The sequence below is a fragment of the Homo sapiens genome, chromosome 7 (assembly GCF_000001405.40).
Source record: "Homo sapiens chromosome 7, GRCh38.p14 Primary Assembly".
Classification (NCBI taxonomy): domain Eukaryota; kingdom Metazoa; phylum Chordata; class Mammalia; order Primates; family Hominidae; genus Homo; species Homo sapiens.
The window spans coordinates 153,438,015-153,460,525 of NC_000007.14; the positions used below are offsets into that span (position 1 = coordinate 153,438,015).

Consider the following 22,511-nt stretch of genomic DNA (forward strand, 5'->3'; position numbering starts at 1 on the left):
GAAGAATGTTCATCATTTCTCATGAGTTCCAACTGGGCCATTGTTCTGGTAATTTATATGAGAGAGGGGCTTCCAATAAACAAGTCATTCATCAGGAAATGGTAAACACTTCAAGGATATTGAGGTATTTTATGTTTCATATGTTATTATAAACTCCTGAGGGCAAGTACAAAAATGTGCTCACTTACGGGCCCATACTCTCATTCATACACACATGAAATAGTATGGCAGCCACAATAGTGAAAACAGGAATAAAAGAAACTTCACAGGAAATACAATCTGAACTGCCAAGTTGAAGGCTTTTTAGTGTTTAGAAAATAATTGGTAATCACTAAAAGCCAACATTGCACTCAGTTTTTTCAGTTGAAAGTTGGAATGGGGAAACTGGAATTCTTTTTTTCTTTTTATTATTATTATTATTATTATTATACTTTAAGTTTTAGGGTACATGTGTACAACGTGCAGGTTTGTTACATATGTATACATGTGCCATGTTGGTGTGCTGCACCCATTAACTCGTCATTTAGCATTAGGTATATCTCCTAATGCTATCCCTCCCACCTCCCCCCACCCCACAACAGTCCTCGGTGTGTGATTTCTTTACAGCTGTGAGTGCCTGGACCTTCCCACACTGCTCTGTGAAGACCCAGGTTTAATGAGTTTACCAGCTTGTCATCCGCAGGCTCCGTGAGTTACATGTTTCCCATTTGTAGCCCCCTGTTCTCATATCTGAGAGCTCAGGCATTCACCTAGGTCCCGCTTAGCCCTCAGGCATAAGTTTTTCACATTTGATTAGTATCAGTTTGTTACTTATTCACCCAGTGATTCTGCTTTGCTGTTGGCTGGTAGTTTCGTTTAGCCCAATGATGATCTTTGTGGGATGATTTTCCCTCTCTGTGTCTGCGTGCTCAGTGCCTCTCGATGAAGATCTCTGTTGGAGAATGTTAATGCAGCCCCCAAGTCTCTGTCATGCCATGGCGGGCTGGTAATGAGAGAAGACAGACAAGTTAGAGGAGACCCGGTGTTTGTGAGATGCCGCTCACCCCTTCCCTCTCTTTGCTGTGGGAAAGAGGATCAGCTGCTGTTGACTCTCCTTACTGCTCTCTTGTGGGTGGCAGCTCATCTTCGTCCATCCTCTAGAGAGGTGTAAAATATTTATTATTTCCTGCATTCTACACACCACCCAATAACTCCTGGAAAGAGAAACAAATTCCACTGAGAGGCAACATCAGTAAACAGAGACCTCAGGATCATCAGGTGGGCATGATCAGCACCTTGCAGGATCACTTGCTTAGTGAAAAGAAATGATCCTAAAAGAATTCAGTTGACTGAGTGTGATATATCTACATTAGCTACCCCCAAATTCATTCTTGACTCATAACAGAGTTTCTCAGGCATTTATCACGTCTTATTTATTCTTAGTTTAGATATACTTCTAATAAGCTTTTCACCTGGTCTCACAATCTGAATCAGAGATATTTGGGGAGGATGAGAAAGTACCTTCCTTGGCTGCGTCACTCGGAGCCTGTGTAAGCTGGGACAGGTCATCTCGGCAGCCTGGAAGCAGGATTCATATCTATGTATGGACGGCCTGGAGTAGATGACTGCTAACCCTAACCCTCCAGCTTACATATGTGATTTTCCAGCATTTTGTAAACCTTCCCAAGGCCTCAGCCAGGTGCTGGGCACGATGAACCACTTGGTGAAGTTCGGCCGGCTGTAGAGAGAAACAACAGGGGAATGACAAAGAACTTCTTGTCTCTAAACCATGGGTCGCTGCTATGGTCTGAACGTTTGTCCCTCCCCCAGACCCCAAATTTGTATGTTGAAATCCTAACCGCCAAGGTGAGGGTTTTAGGAGGTGGGGCCTTTTGGGAGGGGATTAGGTTGTGAGTGCAGAGCCCTCATGAATGAGATAGGGCCCTGATTAAACGGACCCCAGAGAGCTCACTTGGCCCTTCCGCCATGTGAGGACACAGGGAGAGGGTGCTGACTCTGAACCACAGAGTGGGCCCTCCCCAGACACCAAATCTGTAGCATCTCGATCTCAGACTTCCTGCCTCCAGAACTGTGAGAAAGACATTTCTGTTGTTCATAAGCCACCAGTCTATGGCATTTTGTTACAGCCACCCAGATGGACTAAGACAGTCACCCAGAGATCAGGGACATTGAGGAATTCTCCCCTGATGAGGTGAAGTAGACTCGGAAAGGACTGTTGGAAGAAAAGGACCTCCCAAGAGAAAAGCTACCAAGGCAAGAAGGTTGGTTCCATCTGACTCAATGAAGCCTCTTGTCTTCGAGAGCCCTCACAGGGCTGAGTCCCATTGAAGAGACTCTCATTCTAAGCTTGGAATGGAAGTCCGAGGGGACTTCCTGGGAGAAGCCCACTTCCTCCTATCTTTGGGCTACAACAGGAATGACTTGGAAGGTCCGCTGCTTAATGAAAACTGCAGGCAGCTGGATCTGAGGAAGCCCAGCCTGGACTGAGTGTTAAGTAGGGAAGAGATTTTACCATGGAAGTCTGCTTGCAGAAGGCAGACACATCTGCTGTCAGTATAGAGATGAAACCAGGGAGGATCTGACCACACAGCAGTTTTTGGAGGGCATTTAATAACCCATGTGATTTCCTTCCCCATGAAGCATGAAGACCACTGGCTGCTAGGCCCCCAGAGAGGAGGCTGGACAATGGTGCTGGCTGCCTCCTGTGTCGTCCACCTGCCTGTCACCCGGCCCCTCTGCCTGGTGCCCTGCACATGGCCCTTGCTCACAGAGTGGCCCCTGCTGTGCTGCTGCTGCTGCTGTTATGACCCAGGGCCGGTGCTTTTGGATCTCAGAGATGAGGAAGATCAGTGTGGGTGGAGCAGCAAGGACATTCTTTTTGAGAGATGAGACATGCTGGGCACTGGGGGAGTCACTCAGGTTTTATCTTTTACTCACAATAGAAGACAAAATGGAATGTGTAGGAGGAGAGCCAGAGAATAGAGAGGGCAAGAAAGGAAATGAGGAGAAGGGAGTGAACATGATGAATGCCGTGGCAGCGAAGTCAAGGATGCAGACAGGAAGGAAGCTCCCATGCCTTTTAAAAAACCCTTCCTTAAAGATGGTATCCTGTGACATCTGGACTTAATCATTTTGATGATATCTTTGGTGCACCTGAGAATGAATTGGCATCATAATAATAACTCACACAGAAATAACTCGAAAATTAGCAAGGTACCTAACAGTCCTCGTTCAGGAAGAGGCGTAAGAGCAACAGGCAAGAAGAGTTCAGGAACTCCTAAGAGGTTTAGTGCACCCAGCAGGCTGAGGGGAGGAGCGGGGTGAGTTCCACAATGTCACTCTCAAGTCCAAACCCTCCCGCCTGTGGGAGCCCCTCCCTGCCTCGCAGGTAACCACCCACACTCAGGTGCAATGACACTGTCTTCCCAGCACACCCACCTATGCCTTGTTCAACTGCACCCTGGCCATGCACGCTGCCCAGAAAGCTCACTTTTCTTTGTCCCCACTCGTCTGAGTCCTCCCACCCTTCAGATCCCTTTCTGGTCCTGTCTGCAACATGAATCCTACTCTGAGTGCTTCATGAACCCTGAGCTCATGGTCACCTCCATAAAAGCGTTTTGTAATGATTTCATGTGTGAATTTTGTGACTGTATCGTGATGTCCTGTTCTACCCTAGATTTCCCAATGCTTTGCGGAGAGCTGGAGGACACAGGACACACTCAAGCCGTAACCCTGTTGGGCCCACTCTGTGGTTCAGAGTCAGAACCTTCTAGTTGTGTCCTGGCATGGTGAAGGGGCAAGTGAGCTCTCTGGAGTCCCTTTAATAAGGGCCCTATCTCATTCATGAGGGCTCTGCACTCACAAGAAGGGCACAACAAACACAATAAAGGCACAATAATCTACTCCTATTGTGTTTGTTGATGTACTGGTGGGTTTCCTAAGATGATCTTAATGATTAATGGCTAAGTCAAGTTAAAATTCAGATTGCCTGCTTCATCTTTCAGGAATTTTTGGAAACTTAAACAGCAAAGACCCACCCAAACTTCAAATTCCCTGCTCTCTAAAGCAATGCTTTGTAAACCGTCTTCTACAGCACAACAGAAACCCTTCCAGAAAGGTCCAGGCAGTGCAGGAGTGTTGAGTGTAAGCTTTGGGTTTGAATGTTGACTGTGGGCTTTGGATTTGAGTGTGGTACTAGCAAGTTTGAGAGAAAGAGAGGTAATGTTTCTTCATCTGTTAAGTGAGAATCATGTAAGAGAGAGTGCTCACACAATGCCAGACATATAGTAAACAGCCCCAAGTGTTAACTACTGATAATTATGACTTATTCAGTGATCTCCAGACCCTCCTCCAGCCAGTATCCTCTGTCTAGTGTAAGTGTTAATTATTACAAAATGATTGAGGTCTCATTGAAAGTAGAATCAAGCTGCATTGCCCATCACGTTGTCAATCAATTGCTGCAAGTGACGTTGACATTCAGTTACTGATATGGTTTGGCTCTGCATCCCCACCCAAATTTCACTTTGAATTGTGATCGCCATAATCCCCATGTGTCAAGGGTGGGACCAGGTGGAGGTAACTGGATCCTGGAGGTCGTTTCCCTCATGCTGTTCTCGTGATAGTGAGTGAGTCTCACAGGATCTGATGGTTTTTATAAGCGTCTGTCATTTCCCCTGCTTGCACTTACTCCATCCTTCTGCCTGTGAAGAATGTACCTACTTCTCCTTTGCTTTCTACCATGATTGTAAGTTTCCTGAGGGCTCCACAGCAATGTGGAACTGTGATTCAATTAAACCTCTTTCCTTTATAAATGACCCAGTCTTGGGTATTTCTTCATAGCGGTGTGTGAATGGACTAATACAGTTACCAAAACTGAACAGGCAGGCATTATTAGATATAGCCTTGACACTCTGTCTTGTTGATAAAACTTTTAGTAAGAATAAGTCCTGGGAAGTGCTGATTAGGTAATAACAATATTAACTGTAAGACTTTGCTTAAAAATCTCAGGAGAGACATATCCAAGGTGGACGGTAAATAACAGATATTCACCTGGGGCTATTCAAAAGGAAGTGTGATGACCCAGTACCGAGAGAGAACTGGGTTGGAGGGATGCCAGGGGGGAAGTGCTCCAGCCACATGGTCCAGACTGGCATCTGTGTGCAGCAAGACAGTGTCACCCCACAGGACACACCGAGAAAGTCACCTCTTCCCTGTTCTCTTCTTCCCAGTAATGCAGGATCCCAGTTGAATTAGCAGAAAACATCAGGCAGCTGGCTGCTACTTTGTCTTTTTTGCTGCATTTATGTCTGAGCTCACCCAGGGTATGTCATAGGGCACTGCAAAGTCTCTCATTGAGAGTAACCGGCTGCAGGAATCATATATCTTCATTAGAAATGACTTTAGACATAGAGACTCCCGCGACTTTCTCTTCTGAAGCAGACCTCTCTGTAAACTTGTAACCACACTGAATGCCTTTGAAAAACATCCTTCAAAAAGATCCATAGGGAACTTTTGCTCTCCCTGTGTAGTTTCAGAGTGATTCACAGACATTTTTTTCAAACTTAAGTCAAAAACTCAGTCCACTTGGAGACTAAATTATTTACATCCACTACAGAGCTCTTCTTAGCTGCCGTTGCCAAGGGGATTTGGAAGTCCACACTGTAGATCCTTGGCTTGTTTTTAAAATTATTTTTGACATCCCTTTTGCCTCTTCTCTCCAAGTGCTCAGATTGTGCTCAGAAGGTGCACAGGGATCATGCCTACCGCCTATGATGTACAGAAGACTGTCCCAGGTGTTTAGGGCTTAAAGAAAGCGCTGCATTCAAGTTTCCTGGAGTTCTGTGGGGACAGTGAACAAAAAAGATCATGTTTAAGGAGCACAGGCAGACTGTGCCCTGCTGGCTGGAGTGGTCAGAAAAGGCTTAATGGACGGGCAGTACGGACCCCACAGGGCTCCGCAGGAGGTGGGACTGGGTAGAGCAGGGGTGTGTTCTGGGGGAAGGGAGGATTGAGGATGAGGTCTCAGATCAGAGCACCTGAGGTGTATGATGAGAACGGTGGGCCAATGCAGCTGCCTGGGGAGAAGGATTCTCCCTGGAAGTAAGCTTGAGTAGTAGGTGGGAGCCTCACATGCCTGAGAGGAGAGTTTGGGTTTTATTTTACAGATAATAGAGTATTAAAGACAGTGTGTAGGAGGCATGATGTTGTGATGTTGTAGTGGGAATGGACACATGTCTGGGCACTTCGTTTCTAGAAGTGAAGAAATTATGAGGCCTATTGCAAGCACTTAAGGTCAGTTTCATCTGATGGCAATTGCGATAGGATAGCAAGGAAGATTAGAAGACATGTCACAATGAAAGCTTGGATAAGACTGTTACTCGCTGAATACAGAAAGAAGAATGAAAAGGAAGCATTATTGGTGTAAGGTGACGGGATAAGGTAGAAATGAGATGTGACCGGACACCTGGAGCCTGCTGTTCTGGTACAATGTTTTCTTTAACTAGCTAGCTCTGTGACCTAGGAAAGCTGGGTGACTTCTTTGGGTTACCATTTAATCATAGATGAGCCAAGTACCAATAAAATGAGGCCTTCCTTCTTAAGTGCACTTGCGAATGAAATGAGAATTGATATGAAAGCATTTTGAAAAGTCAGAGATATCATTGAAACAATTATCATCATTAATATTACTGTGCAACTGGAATCTTTCCGATTCATTAATTTTGCAAACCATGCCCAGCTGAAGGGAGTTGGAGGACATGCATCTCGCTAGCATGTGTCTGTTTCTGGAGGGAGATCAAAAGACTGCTTTGCATCACTGCAAGAAGGGAATTTCCTATTTCCAGGCAAAACAATAAAAATGAGCAATCTCTCTCGAGCTTATCTCTGAAAGACATGATTCTCATAAAAGTCGTGATTGCGGCATAACCATATACAGTACACGAGCACTATCCTCAGCTCCCCTGCTGTGCGAGGAAGTTTTCCCTGGCCGTAATAAACACAAAATACCAGATAATGCCACAGCCTGCATGATCACTTGGGCAAAGCGCTCACTCCACTGCTGACTTTTGGGGTTCAGGCTTCCAGAACACTCTAACTTCCAAGCCCCATACTGGGGCTGAGAGAGTTATTGCACACCTGCATGCGTGGCTCTGAGACGGGAAGACCTTGTATGAAGGCCTGGGACTCCTAGACCATCTTGCCACTTGGTCCTCACTCCCTGTGCCTTTCCCAGCCAGAGGCCAGCAGACGTGGGACTGAAGGCAGGAAGGAGTTGGGGCAGATGTTGTAGCTGTGGGAAGTACCAGCCTTTAGGTGATAGATGGGGACATGCTCAGCCTTCAGGCTCAGCTGTAAGAATGGTCAAGTGTCCTGCAGATGTCCAGGTGATTCATGTTGTCATTTTGCCAACTCAACATTAATATGAGGGGGTAATGAGATCTCAGTATATGTTTGTTGTTAGTGCTATGCATCCCATTCTGTAACAAATGTTTCCCATACATTATCTTATTTAATCTTCACTAGCACCTTCGAAAGTAGGCATTCTTATAATGCCTGCTTTATGGATGAGAAAACAGCGTGGAGAAGGCAAACACTTTTTATAAAGCTTCACAGCTAATAAATGATAGTTCTGGATAACACCAAAGCCGACAATTCACCTAAGAGTTTCACTAATTTTGGAAACTTTCTGACATCCTGGGAATGAAAGTCCCTGCCCCACAATTTTACCTCTATACTTGGCACACGCTAAGCACTCAAAAGAATTTTTGGATTGATTCATCACAGATGGAATGAGGGTGGAAATGTAGCATCTGCAGCCCAGCGTGAGAAGGAAATTAGCTGGACCAGGGCCTCCGAGATCATGGCAGCACCGAGGCTGACCTTGGGAGAGGAGATAGGAAAACAGAAGCCATACAGAGCTAAAGGAGGGAGAAATGGGAGAAAAGTGGAGAAGATAAAGCAGAAAGGGTTGAGAAAGTGGAGGGAAAAGCAGAGGCAGCTAATGGAATCAAGTGTGAGGCATTAGAAAACTTGACTTCGTGTACTTGTCTAAGACCACTCTACTCTCAGGTAATGGCTTTCTTATATATTCATATTGAAGTAAAGAAATGGGCCCAGGTCAGGTGTGGTGGCTCACGCCTGTGATCCCAGTGCTTTGGGAGACCGAGGTGGATGGATCACCTGAGGTCAGGAGTTGGAGATCAGCCTTGTCAGCATGGTGAAGCCCTGTCTCTACTAAAACTACAAAAATTATCTGGGCATGGTGGTGGGCACCTGTAATCCCAGCTACTCAAGAGGCTGAGGCAGGAGAATCACTTGAACCCGGGTGGTGGAGGTTGCGGTGAGCCTAGATTGTGCCATTATGCTCCAGCCTGGGCAACAAGAGTGAAACTGTCAAAAAAAAAAAAAGAAAGAAAAGAAAGGAAGGAAGGAAGGAAGGAAGGAAGGGGAAAGGAAAGGAAGGAAAGAAAGAGGTCCAATTGAGCAGTTCATAAATTAAATGTGTGCCCTGCAAATCAAAGCTCTGGATACATTTGCTGAACAAGAATACTAGGTACATAGGTTGTGGGTTTATTTTGTCAACTTTGGCCACAGATGTCTTTGCCCCTTTCTTCTGAGAAAGGGAGTGGAGCTGTCATTGAGAGGACACATGCTTCCTCCAGGTGGCCCTCCTGTGGTGAAAGCCCCACACACCCAGGGGCAATTCGCCCTTTCTGGGAACTGGGGAGACTGTGCTATAGGTCTGCCTAATCCTTCATAGACACTCAGCTGTCTCGGGCAGCTTCTCAGCCCCTTCCTTCTGTTTTATTCCCTGGGGAGCAGGGAGCTACCTGTAGTCTTTTCTCTCCTAGCTTATTCCTTCCAACTTATACATCTCACCTTTGGTCCATTATAGCATATTTTTTACTTTATAATTTATGGCCCATGGAGCAAGCCAGTTACTTTTGCTTCAAATTGTAGGACATCTCAAGAAAAACAATAAACACAAAATTTTCCATGTAGGCAGACCAATCCTCCCTCTTTCTTCACTGAGTCCTTGTATGGAAACTCACTGGTATAACGAGACCCTTAAGACACAAAGAATTTTCACTGACAATTTAATTTGAAATAAAACACTTGAGAGGAAAACAAGCTGTGTTTCAGTCAGAAGTTGGAAGGTGATGGAGGAAGACAGAAAGCCCAGTGGTGACGGCAGGAAGGGGAGGCTGCTGGGGTTTCAGATCGTGGGTGGCTCTCAGTAAAGCTAGGAGTTAGGGCTTTAATTCATGCTGTCATTTCTCCTCCACATCTCCCCACCCGAAGGCCTGTTCCCTTCCAAAGCTCTGAGTGTTACCTTTTGTCATGACTTGTTTCAATGCTGCTGATTCGAAGGTCCAGATGCTGGTGGTGACTTGGTGACCTGGGGGAGTCCTGCAGGTCGGGATGTGCCTATGCAGAAGAAGAGAGCGTGATTTGGGCCAAAGACAGAGATGGCCTCAGGTGTGATCCTTATGGGTTTATAGGGTCCTGTGTGCTGGCGTAAAGACCTCAGCACTACAGTGGAGCTAGGAATAAAAGTGCTTTCCAAATCCTTAACAACTGCCTTAAGAGAGGAATACCTTCATAAGTTTGGAACTGCCTTTGAACTGATAATGAAATTATTTCCCCTTCAGGCTCTCCTGCAGTTAGGCGTGGCCCAGGTGCAGAGTCCTGGGTGATGGAATGTGAGTGCAGTTAGGTGCACTGCTTCCCCACTTCCTGAGCTAGGTCTTCTCTGCCCCTCCCCTCTCCCTGTCCCAGTGCAAATGCCTGGTGCAGCCTTGACAGCTGTGTGTTGGACATGGTGGTTTCTCCGGATGGGAGGAGCTTGGGTCTCCTTGTAGACAAGGAGTGCTGCCTGTGGGTCAGGAACACTCATGTCGAGTGTTACATGAGTGAGGAATAAATCTGAAAATGTGCCATAGCTCAAACACAACAAGATTTATGTGTTATAGCAACAAATGGAGTTGAGAGAGCTCTCTGTTTCTCAGAAACACCGTTTTTCATTAAAAATAGCAAAAATGAGTCTAGGTTAAAAAGAAAAGGTAAGTCATTCTGAGGCAGGGCAGATTTTATTTTATTCTTTTTATTGACACATAATAATTGTACACATCTATGGGGTAAGTGTGATATTTGATACATGCATACAATGTGGAATGAGCAAATCAGGTTGTTGGGTGTCCATTGTGTCATTGATCATTTCTTTGTGTTGGAAACATTTCAAATCTTCTCTTCTAGTTATTTTTTGACACATATAATAAATTATTGTTAACTATAGTCACCCAACTGTGCTATCAGACACTAGAATGTACTCCATCAAACTGTAGTTTTGTACCCATTAATCAACTCAAGTTCCATTCCACTCTCTACCTCCTTGAGATCAACTTTTTTAGCTCCCACATATGAGTGAGAATAGGTAGTATTTGTCTTTCTGTGCATGGCTTATTTCACTTAATCTTTAACAAATATTTGAGTAAGCAATTATTTATTTTTTGAGGGGGCTTCATGCAAAGGAGATGTCTTTAACAGGAATATGGCCATATCTCTGCTGTCATGAGGCTTATAATCTAGCAGAGAGGAAGACTAAAAATAGTTATAATTATGTAATTAATGACTTTAATATATTCAAGGAGAGAGCTATGAGACAATATAACAGGATGACCTACTCACTCTGTAGGGTTCAAAAAAGACTTCCCTGATTGTACAATTTAAAGTTATAATTTACAAAATTTGTGCTTAGTATCTCCCAAGACAGCAGTATGTACAGGGGTCCTGAGTCAGAAAAGACCTTCATTGGAATTGAAAGAAGAGCAGGGTGACTAGAGCACAGTGAGTCAAGGGAAGGGATTCCTTACAGCCAGATCCTCCAGGGTTTCTTGGACCTTGATGCAAATTCTCCACAATAGCCCATTCATGCGTGTAACCTATTATATATTTTGAACAAGAAGTGATATACAAATAACACTTTAGGGTGAGCACTTTGGTTGATGGGTATGAAATGGTTTAGAATCCATCAGAAATGGATAGCAATTAGGAGCCTATTGCCAGTTCAGGTGAAAAATCATGGCCTCCTTGGAATAGTAGTGGGTAGTGATGGTGGAGGTAAACTGACATAGCCAAGATCCCTTGTGTGGAAATAGAAATGACAAGACCTGGGGATGGATTGGGTCTGAAGGTTAGTGATGACAAGAAGAGGAAATGATTCCCCATTTCCAGGATTGAGCAGTTTGTTCATGGAGATGACAAGGGCTGGAGGGAAGCAGGGGGAAATCTTACATGGTGTGAATCCCAGCCCAAGGCATTTACCTCCTCCAATATACATCTCCTGGGATGTGATCAGTTGAGGATTGGATTTTGAAAGATAGACATGTTTTAAATCAAATAAAAATATGTGGGAGTTATGGAGAATGAGAAGAACTTTAGATGATGATGTATTCATGCCCTTCTATTCAAAAAATGTCTTAGTAAAAATTCTAGGTCTTTTTTTTTCAATAACTGTTTGATCTTCTATAAAACTCCAGTGGAATGGCATTTTCTCAAATAAAACTCTTCTAGAATTACCAATAAATGATTTACTAGATACATTCCTATGACTTTTTAGAATTCAGGATATGGAAATGACAGCATCAACAAAGCCCAAAATGTAACCAATTGCTTTCCCAAACAGTGGCTTAGCTTTGGAGAGAAGAAAACTAATTCTCAGTTAGAAAACTTGTCAATACCTTGTATACTTGTACAATTTACAAAAACAGTGTTAGGTGCTCTGGTCTGGAAAAGAGAAATGCAGGGGAAAAATGCAAGTAAAACTCCTTGCAATTGTTCAAGCCCTGGGTATTGCTATCTCTTGCAAGTGTGAAAGAATTTAAGATTTTATTAAGGAGAAATAGATCTATGAGACCGAAGAGCCTATTATTTGCTTTGATTTTATTTTCAGTATATGCATTGTGTACATATATAAAGTTTATTAAGCTGTAAAATACTGATTCTTGTTTTGACATGAAGAGTCTTATTGTATTAAAAAATGTGAGAGTTTAAAGGGAACTCCTAATCATTTATTCCTGAGAATGAATGAATGTAATCAGCAACTTTTGTCCCTAGTTACAGCTGAAGAATGTTTGATAGTGGGCAGAGAAGATATGATTTAAGATATTGGGAAAAGACACACTGGGCAGTTGAGGGTAGTCAGGAAAAGCAGGCTTGTGCAGAGGGAGAAAGGGAATGTAATATGAATACTTTTCCAAATGAGGATGTCTCCTTTCTAGACATCTTTGCAGCCACACAATTTAACACAGCAAATTTGCATGTTTAGAAAGTATTTATTGAGTTGAATTACAATGAAAAATATAGAAGAGATCCCAAGAGATACTTTGCCTATTTTAATCCTAGGATTGATCCCAAATTGTAAAGGCCCAGACAGGTGGACTCCTGTGCTGGCTGTTTCCATGGGCTCCTCTGCAGGCTCCAGGACTTCAGAAATGCCCTGGAAGAAACCCTGACCCGAAGAACTCCATCACTCATCACTCATTGGACAACAGAGGCTTCTTGATGTTTGCTGAAGTGATGGTGGGGTGAAAGCTCAACCTACTTACCCTCTTCTGCTTATGTGATAGAGCATGTGTTGAATCAGGCCATTAATTTGGGGTCTTTGTTCTTTCGGGTTATGTTTGATAAGAACATTTCTCCTCATCTGGATTAACAGAGACACAAGCAATGCAGAAACCACTGGAAAATTTGTAGTGAAAGGTGGCTTCTGATTCTTAGAAAGGACAGGGTTTTATAAATATTTAAGGTAGGTATAGACCTCTCTCTCTCTCTTTCTCTCTCTGTCTCTCTCTCTCTCCCTCTCTCTCTCTCTCTCTCATCTATCCATCATTTGTCCATAGAAAGGAAAGAGTTTTATAAGTATTTAAGGTAGGTAGAGACCTCTCTCTCTCTCTTTCTCTCTCTGTCTCTCTCTCTCTCCCTCTCTCTCTCTCTCTCATCTATCCATCATTTGTCCATAGAAAGGAAAGAGTTTTATAAATATTTAAGATAGGTATGGGCCTCTCTCTCTCTCTCTCTCACTCACTCTCTCTCTCTCTCTCTCATTCTCTCTGTCTCTATCTCTCCCTCTCTCTCTCATCTATCCATCATCTGTCCACACAGATACAATGGATGTGGCAGGAGGGAGTCACTCAGTGAAAAAAAAGAAACTAAGGTTTCTTGGCCTGATTAAATGAGAGAATGCACTTACCATTAATTGGGTTTTGGAAGACTATGGGAGTGGCACATTTGGGAGGAAAAATCAAGTTCTGTTTTGAGTGTTCTGTTTGAGTTCCTATCAGACATCTGGGAGAGAGTACTTATGCAGAACTCAGGGGAGAGGCCACATATGTTTGACCACTTCTGCATATGGATGGAAATTAAAGCCAACTGAATGGATGAGATGAGCTCACAGATAAATGTAAGAAAGACAGGAGACATTTGGAGACTGAGTCTTCATGCAATGCCATGCTTTGGTTAGGGAAACGAGTAAGAGAGGCTGAGAAGGAGTGAGTAGGGTGGCAGGAGGACATATGAGAGAATGGAGAGAATGGCTTTTTGGAGATCAAGTGAAGGCAATGTATCATGGAAATGAGAGGTGCTGATGGTGTCAAATGCTGAGTTGAGTAAGATAATCCTGGAAAAATGACCATTAGATTTGATGACATGGGGTTGACCTTGCCGAGGGTGATTTTCCTTTTATTGTCAGTCCAATTGAAGTGATTTCAAAAGATTATGATGGAAAAAAAGATGGGATTCAGGGATTGTAGATGCTTTTGATGAGTCCTGCTATAAGGGGAAGAAGACATCTCGACAAGAAGCTAGAGAGGCATGTGAGAGGTTCTTTTCTTTCACTGTTTTTCAAGATGGGAGCATCTTTTCATGATCATGGAAATGAGCCACAGAGAGGAAAAAATTTTGTGAGAAAGGTTGGAAAATTAGGACACTGATATCTTTGAGTAGACTAGAGGGGATGACATTCAGGATACCAGTGGAGGGAGGGGTTGTCCTTATATTCAGGTAAACAGTATCAAAACAATGAACTCAAGAAAAGAGGGGATTAACCTACTGATTTATTGATGACCGTAACAACGATAGATAGCTAATCATACTGTCTACTGGCAAGAACTAGGTTTTTTTATGAATAAGAAGGGATGATGCTCTAGAAGCCAAATGAAGAGTTGGGAGAACATCTACACCACCTCCAAGCCCACTGGTTCAAGGGCTTTAAAAGAACAGGCTGAAGGAGATGCAGTGTCCCCAAGGATCAGGCAGGCTTCAGCTAGAGGAGAAAGGTGGAGGGAATGCTCAGAGATGTAGCTGGAATATAGATTATTTTGCTGATGACCTTGAGTTCTAGAAGGCAGAGTGGAAGGAGTTGGGCTCTGTGGAGGCATCAGGGCTCAGAGATGTACACAATGAAATGGGGTAAGTTTCTGGCTGGTAAGGAATGACTTGTGAATTAGTGACTAAGGTATATAGGCTGAAGGACTGATAAGATTATTTCATATATGTTGTGGTGAGGGTATTCATACTGGGAGCAGGGATGAGAAGATTTCCCCAGAGCCAAGCATATAATAATGATGGCAACAAGATGGGATTCAGGAATTGTAGATTCTTTTGAGGAGTCCTGCTATAAGGGAAAAAGACAACTGGACAAGAAGCTAGAGAGGCATGTGAGTTCAAGGGGGATTCTTTTATTTCCTTGTTTTTAAAGATAGAAGCATCTCTGCACTTCAGTGCCATCGCTGTGATGGTGGTATGACGCCTGGGAGAGGGCAGTGCATGCAGAGCTCTGTGGGCATTCCCTGGGAGTTTTGCCAAACAGGGCTTCCTCATATGGCTGTGCATGTTGGACACTGCACAACTCCAGAGAAAGCTATTTCTATTCATTTGATGTGAATGGTACCCTGTACAATGGTAGCTCTTTCTTTATAGGTGAGTGACACCGGGTGTGCATGTAGGGCTTATTATTCCTCATTTTATTGATGAGGCAATTGAGGTACAGATGAGTCCGGTGACTTTCCTGATTTCACATTGCTATCAGTAACAGAACCAGATTTTGATTCCACCATTTGTAAGCACTCTTGAGCTCAGTGCTGCCTCTTGAATGCCAAGATCCCTCTGTCCCTCTGAGGCTATTACTAATAATCAAAAGCAAACAAACATTCAAATGCCCTTGAAGGGAAGAGAGTCAATGTATATAAGATAACAATTTACAAACAAAAACTGTCTTTAATATTACAGGCTTGCTTCAATTTTTTGATGGCTTTTGGCTGTCCATTCTTATTTAAGACCGAGAGATGAAAAGTCATTGGAAGCCATGTGTACATGGTCATTGAATGCTAAGATTCCATTTAGGGTTGTCGGACTGGGACTTGACCATTTTGTTAGAGAGATCCCAAAATATCAGTATTTGTAGGTCTTTCACCTTGGGCTAGATTATTTCTCTAGGGAAGATCCTGCAGTTCCTGCCTGAAGTATCTGGCTACCAGTATCCTGAGACCAAAGCAAGGAAAGTGGGCTGGGATAGCCTCCTTTCAGTATTTGGGTTTTACATTAAAGCCTTTGTTTTCAGCCCCTTGCTAAAACCTCCCAGCTCCTTGCTAAAAGCTCCCACTGTATCTGAAACTTCCAAACCCAGAATCTTCAGTTCAGTAATTGTGTTATTACGGAAACCTCTTGCACCCCACTTTAAATCTTCTCTGTCCACCTCTTATTCCAGCCACCAGTGTGATGACAAATCCCATGTGGGTGTGGCTAGTCTGACGCAGGGACCCTGGGTAGCACTTGGACCCCAACTCCTGGCCCTGCCCCTGAGCTCCTCTGGGGCCTAGAAGTGCAAAACCAGTGGGCACTGGCACAGGGCAACCTGGCGGGGTAGGGAAGCTGACACCATCCATCAGTGGTAGATGGAGATGAGAGAAAGTGCATTCCTCTTTCCTCACCTAGGGAAGATGGTTCTGAGCCCATTTCACAAGCCTTCTTAGACAGTCCCATCGGATGGAGCAACTTGTCACCCACAGCCCTGGCCAATATGATAATGACCCTGGCTGTTTCACTTTTCACTTCTGCTATTCCTTTACTCCTACTTCTTGGGATCATATTCCTAGATGAACAACACACACATAAGTCCTTAGCTCAAGCCCTGCCTTCGGGGGCATGTGTATGAAGAGGTAGGTGTCTGCATATATGCGTAGCTTTCAGGAGCTGGGTTGGCCAAGTGGCTGGGAAAGAGGACAGAGCCATCTGAGGCTGTAAGTAGTCTGTACACCAAAGTTCCCCCATCTCCTCTTCTTAGCCCCCACCCCACAGTCCTACTTTCAGTTCAATTCCTGAGGCTTTCTCACAGTTCAGTGGTGTAAATCACCTTGCTTTTTATTGCTTTCTTTCTCTGCAGATTAGGTTTCAGCTCTTTCCACTCTGATATATTATTTACCACCCATGCATCCGCTTTGCCTCTTCTAAAACCTCGTTGACGTCTCTCATCTGGCATCATCTCAACTGTTCTTGTTGTCCTTTTGGGTTCGTGTGTTCCCGTCACGCATTTGCTATCTTTTTCGGGGGCCTTCCAGAGGGACAGTCCAGAGATAAACACGCTTCTTCTATGCCATCCTCATATGGGGCCTTAGCATTTTCTTTGATACACGCTGTCTCATAAAGAGCCCGAACCCTGAGCTTTCGTTCTTTGTAACTTGTGATTAATGAGATTTGGGGAGAGACAACAAATGCCTCAGAGCTTTGATTTCCTCATCTGTAAAATTAGCTGTGTGAATTGATCTCTGAGATCTCTTCTCGCTCTAAAGCACTATTGATTATCTAACCTCCACCTTTGGCCCTCTGAGAAACTCATAGAAGCTACTAGTGCTCAGTATCTAACGGCAGAATTTGATGAATGCTTTGGTTTAGGGAGACCACGTTGTGCACTACCTCCCAGGAAATGCCTGGATGGATGAGATTTCCATCTGCTCAAGCCCTGGAGACAGCTTGTATTAACTCTGCAGGAATGTTTTTTATTCAATGTGTTTTTGTCTCTCTGGAATCCATTTGATAGTTTCTCTCCTTTGGCACCTTCAGAAAGCTTTGTAGGACATTGACCTTCAATTCTATAGAAACTCCTGGGCTGCTGCATTCACTGTTTTGCTTTTTCTAGAATTACTTATTGTCTAAAATGGATTTGGATAGAGGGGTCAAAAATGGACCGCAAACCCATGGCCTATTTGCACGTACACACACACACACACACACACACACACACACGGGTTGGGGAATGGAGGGAAAGGGAGAAAGAGAGAGAGCACAATGGGAATATCTCATTGTCTTGGAGTCCTAAGTTGTCCCAGGCATCAGTGAAGTGTATTTGCTGTCTAGGGACAGGGCTGGCTTCTCTCTAATTCATTTATCAAATCCCAGTCCTCACTGGTTTCAATCTCCCTTTTTTTTCCCCTACAAATGATCTGACATTTAGTGTGTGGCAGCTCTAGAAATGATTTTTGAATTCTTATACGAGCTAAAGAACATGAAAGGGAAGTATCTGGTAACATTAAACCTAGAATAGCACCTGTCCCTGTCTCCACGCAGAAGCCCAGTGCCTCCTATTCAACCTTCAAACTCAGCTCAAGTATCACTTCCTTTGAAAAGATTTCCTTAATTGTCCCAGACAAGGTGAGACACTCCCTCCTATTTTTTCTCCTGGATTACATCATAATTCTATGGCAATATATACATGTTTCTCTTAAAATAAATATCACCTTGAATTATAATTGTAGATGAGAAAAAAGTTAGTAAAATGAGACTCATCAGTTTGGGCTGGAAACAAAAAACTGTATTGCCACATTTTAAGGAGAAGAGCTAGATGGTTATATAGGCATTGCCTGAGGAATCAACTAAAGCTGGCTGTGTCTGTGCACCATTAATGTTTCACCTCCATCCCCTGTGAGAAGGTGAGGTTGAGGAGGCTGAGGAAGGAAATTCCTTTGAGGAGGGCTTTCAGAATAATCGGACACTTCCCTCCACTTGGCTGCCTCACCACTGCCACGGGGATGGGGAAAATGGGATGTGCTATTCTTGCCTCATGATGACTGAAAGGCAATTCAAGAAAACTACGTGGAGGCTGCAGAAATTTCCCCTGGAGTGTACAGAATCGACAGCCTGTCGTCTGATCCCCAGATAAGCTCAAAGAGAGAGGATGCGGCTGCAGCTCCATGGCCAGCAGCAAAGCCAAGAAGAGTGGTTTTTGTGAGCAAGCGTCATCTCCACAGACAGCAACACAGAGCTGCGGATCTTCTGAACATTCTTCTTTTTGGAGATGCCTGGGGATTGTCTTCAAAATGATCCATTTCAGGAAGATCACCATGGGAGAGAGGAATCCTGAGAGGGAGGTGGTCCATAGACACTCGGGGGCAAAGGGGAGAATTGTGGGGGCAGCTGGGATGAGGCGTTTCTCAGTTGGAAGGACAGAGAATCTTAAGAAATGTAGAAACACAAGAGGAGGAAGAGACAGAGATAGAGAGACAGAGACAGAGAAAGACAGAAACACAAAGATGGAGAGACAGGCAGAGGTAGAGAGACAGAGAGAGATGCACACACACAAAGGAGGAGGGGAGATAGAGGAGGGAGAGTTGTTTATGCAACCCAGGGGGCACCAATGCCAATCAACAGTTGTACCTTCCCTGTAAATGTAAAAGGCACCTTCTCTCCTGATGCCCTTGCACCTACATTCAGCCTTGGAAGCGTCAGCCATAGGAGCTAGTGAGGCAGGGATGAAGTTGAAGAAAAATCAACAACTGACCACACTTTCCTTCCTGGCCTTGTCTGTCCAGTGACCTCAGCAAGGGCTCCTCTCGGCTCTTCCATATGTGGTTTGCTCTCTGATTGACATCCAGCTCTTTTCTGTATCCTACACCCTGAATGCCTTTTCCACTCCCTTACACGGTCACCACCAACCTTCTGAACTCAGCTGAGGCACACATTTAATATGATTCCATTCCTGGATCATTTGTATCTCTGAAATTCTTCATCCGTGGTGAGCACTAGCATGTCTAAGGGCACGACACAAGGCACATGGTTGTGGCAGCACCCCTTGCAGGATAGCGGAAGGCTTGCCCATGGCAGAAACTAAACTGGTCTGTGGAGGGTCTGCCAGGTAGGGAATAGGGTCCAAGTAGGAAACAAGCTGTATTTGATTTGGACAGTGGTTGGCGGAAGCAGAATCTCCAATGAAGACTGCAGAGTTCTGGTGCAGATCAAGGAATCTGGAAATGCGGGCTCTTCAGCCAGGCTGTCTTCTGGGAACTTGCTACCACATAGAGTGTCCTGCCGGGCTGTGGTTCTGGAGGAGAGTCTTATGCTGGAAGAAAGAGTCCTGTGTACTGGAATGGGTAAAGAATGTGACACTTTCATTTATTCATCCATATAATTCAGTTCCACTTTGAAAAAATTAGGTGTGGTTGACATGATTCTGGACTCATGGTTTTCAAACATTCGTGTGCATAGGCATCACTTGGGGGACCAATACTGATTCTTGGGACTCACACTGTGATTCGAGTTTGGGGTGGGCCCTGGAAATATGTACTGGAATAAGTTTTCCAGGTGACACGACAGATGGTTCCCAGACCCTCAGACCACTAGGCATGTGACCTCCCACCAATTTCCACTTTTCTAGAGGCTGAACACAGACTTTGCCTTTTCTGCTTCTCTCTCCCAGTGTTATGTAATTAAAGCTAAGCCTTTGAGCAATTCAAGAGGGGCTGGTGGATGGAGGTTGCAATTAGATTTTTCTGCAGTAGCGTGACAACGGATTATTTCAGCCCATGGAGAGGCAGGTGGGGACTGATTGTAACAATGGGCAGAAAGGTCTGTGAGTCACTCTCCCGTCTTACTAAATGTTTGCCCACACGGAAGATTTGTTCCATCACTTCATAATGATGCTATGAAATTGTGCTTCCTCCTTGGCACTGCCTGCTGAGTAATTTATAGGACACAGAGGACGAGGCAAGTAATTAGGTTTTGTTTTTTGTTATCGTTGGGTGACTCAAATGCAGTTGTTTTCTTGTCATTCCTGATTTCTGCAAAGTGCGCTGCTCTGACACATCCACGTGTGGAAGCCAGAGCATATTTACAGTTTATCTGAAAAGTACCTTCTTTCAACACTGTTTTTCTTTCTGCACACAACAGAGATTAAAAATAGAAACCATTAGCCCCACAGGGAGTGGGGAGCAGAACCCCTGGGTTCTGAACAGCTTAGGTAGTTTAGAACAAACAAACATTTCTCATCTATTTTTAGTAGAGAAGGCAGTATTTCCAACAAGTGGACTTTAAAAAACAAACAAACAAACAAACAAACAAACAAACAAACAAAACCTGTGGAGATTGTTTCTTAGTGACACAAATCATTCCTTAGACACTTACCCAAGGGATGACTTGGATGCCAGGTTTGCATGCAAAAAAGAAGCTCTCCAGCAGATGCTAAAGTGGCTTTTGTTGTGTTTTTTCAAGGAATGGGTAGTTTCTAGATGACCTATAATGTATTATTCTTTCCCTTGCTCAGTGCTGCTATTTACAGCCTCAAGAACAGAACAAAGCAGACCAGCTTGTTGTGGTACTGAAATTATGCAGTCTGCTTCACAAGTATTGTGGCTAAATGGCCCCCTTCGTTAATTCACTCATTCATTCCACATATGTTAATAAAGAACTTGATGCTGGATACTGTCCTAAGCCCTGGGGATACAGCTGTGAGCAAAACGGGAATACATTTCTGTGATAAGGTTAAAGTCTGATTCCAGGGCCTTTCCGTTAGTGGTTTCGGTATGACTTTGGAAAAGGTGACAAAACTCCTTGAACCTGAATTTCCTCACTTGTCAAATGAGTTTTGTGTTATCAGTGTTTCTCAAAATTTCCTCCTCACAGCCAGGAACAGTGGCTCATGCCTATAATCCCAGCACTCTGGGAGGCCGAGGTGGGGAGATCACTTGAGCTCAGGAGTTCGAGACCAGCCTGGCCAACATGGTGAAACCTCGTCTCTACCAAAAATACAAAAAATTATCTGGGTGTGGTGACACACATCTGTGGTCCCAGATACTCAGGAGGCTGAGGTGGGAGGAAGGCTTGAGCCTGGGAAGTGGGTTTTGCAGAGAGCTGAGATCGCGCCACTGCACTCCAGCCTGGGTGACAGTGAGATCTTGTCTCACACACACACACACACACACACACACACACACACACACACACACAAATTCCTTTGTCATAAGCATCCCCAGGAATGTTTGGTGAGCAGAAGCGGCTCCCTTGGAGGCTCTGAGGCTCTGATTCAGTATGTCTGGACCAGCCTTGTCCAGTGGAAATACAATGTGAGCCACACATAGAATTTCAAATTTTATGGCAGCTATAGTTTTTGAAAAGTAAAAATAAATAGATGAAATTAATTCTAATATCTTGTATTTAATTTACTATATTTGAAATCTCAACATTTCAACACAGAACTAATTTAAAGTAGTAATGAGTTATTTTGCCTTCTTCTTTTGCATTTAGTCTTCAAAATCTATTGCGTTTCCTACACTTGTAGCACAACTCAATTCAAAGCAGCCACATGTCATGTGCTCAGCAGCCACCAGTGGCCAGTGGCCACCATATTCGACAATGCATGGGTCCTTGGAATCTACCTTTAACAAATGGCCCAGGTGGTTCTTATGATGGAGCAAGTGGAGAGAGTAGTCTAGGTGCTCTCTAAGTGAGCTCCCAACTCTAATATTCTATCAGAATATGAAGGGTTGGGGAAAGCACATTAGTGGGTCTACCACTCAATTGGCAATTAACGCATGTTCATATTTTCAGAACATCAATTTCAAGACTGATTTTACTTTCCTCTGTTTTCTCTCCCTCCCATCCTCCATGTCTTTTAAGCTGCCAATCAGGAAGACATAATGGTATTGGAGATGATTCAGAGAAGAGAATTTCAAATGATCAAGGGGATAAGAAAGCTGTCTTATAAGGATAAACTACAAAGAACAAAAGTTTTCAAGCTAGAAAAACCAGGCTGAAAAGTAAGGATGATCAAAGTCTCTAAAGTTATGAAGTCGATGGAAAAAATGAACATGAATGTTTTAAAATCGAAAAATAGCACAACAACAGGAACAATTGGGAAGCCATAGGACAAAATAATGAGAAAAAAGTACATTAGGCAGCAGATACAGAAGTTAGAGAACTCATTCCCTATGGTATAGAAAAGGATATATTGCAAACAATTCAAATAACATTTTGGCATGAGTCATACCTTCTTACAATATCCCAAGACATTCTGTATATCCTTAGTAAGTAGTTAAGTTTGATTTTAGAAAGAACACTTTCTATCTGTACATCTATCCTCCCGCCCATGTATCTGCTCATTAAATTTTATAAAGGCCTAAACTGTAAAATAGGTTTTGTTGGGGGATTTTAATATGTAGAACATCATTTAATATACTCAATAATCCTCC

At 43.8% G+C, this 22,511-nt stretch overlaps 1 pseudogene, besides 2 other annotated features; it reads left to right on the plus strand.

The window, feature by feature from the left end:
• Window positions 1,017–1,223: a silencer, noted in NCBI's record as "fragment chr7:153136116-153136322 (GRCh37/hg19 assembly coordinates)". NCBI's record gives its function as "represses an EF-1alpha promoter that drives an FKBP-Casp9 reporter gene in an ReSE screen in phorbol 12-myristate 13-acetate-treated (for megakaryocytic differentiation) K562 erythroleukemia cells {active_cell/tissue: K562(+PMA)}" and the evidence as "EXISTENCE:reporter gene assay evidence [ECO:0000049][PMID:32094911]".
• On the plus strand, window positions 11,415–11,861 carry PAXBP1P1 (PAX3 and PAX7 binding protein 1 pseudogene 1; annotated as a pseudogene).
• Window positions 19,382–20,581: an enhancer, noted in NCBI's record as "P300/CBP strongly-dependent group 1 enhancer chr7:153154481-153155680 (GRCh37/hg19 assembly coordinates)". NCBI's record gives its function as "activates an origin of replication core promoter dependent on BRD2, BRD4, P300/CBP, MED14 and CDK7 cofactors, with strong dependence on P300/CBP, by STARR-seq in HCT116 cells {active_cell/tissue: HCT116}" and the evidence as "EXISTENCE:reporter gene assay evidence [ECO:0000049][PMID:35650434]".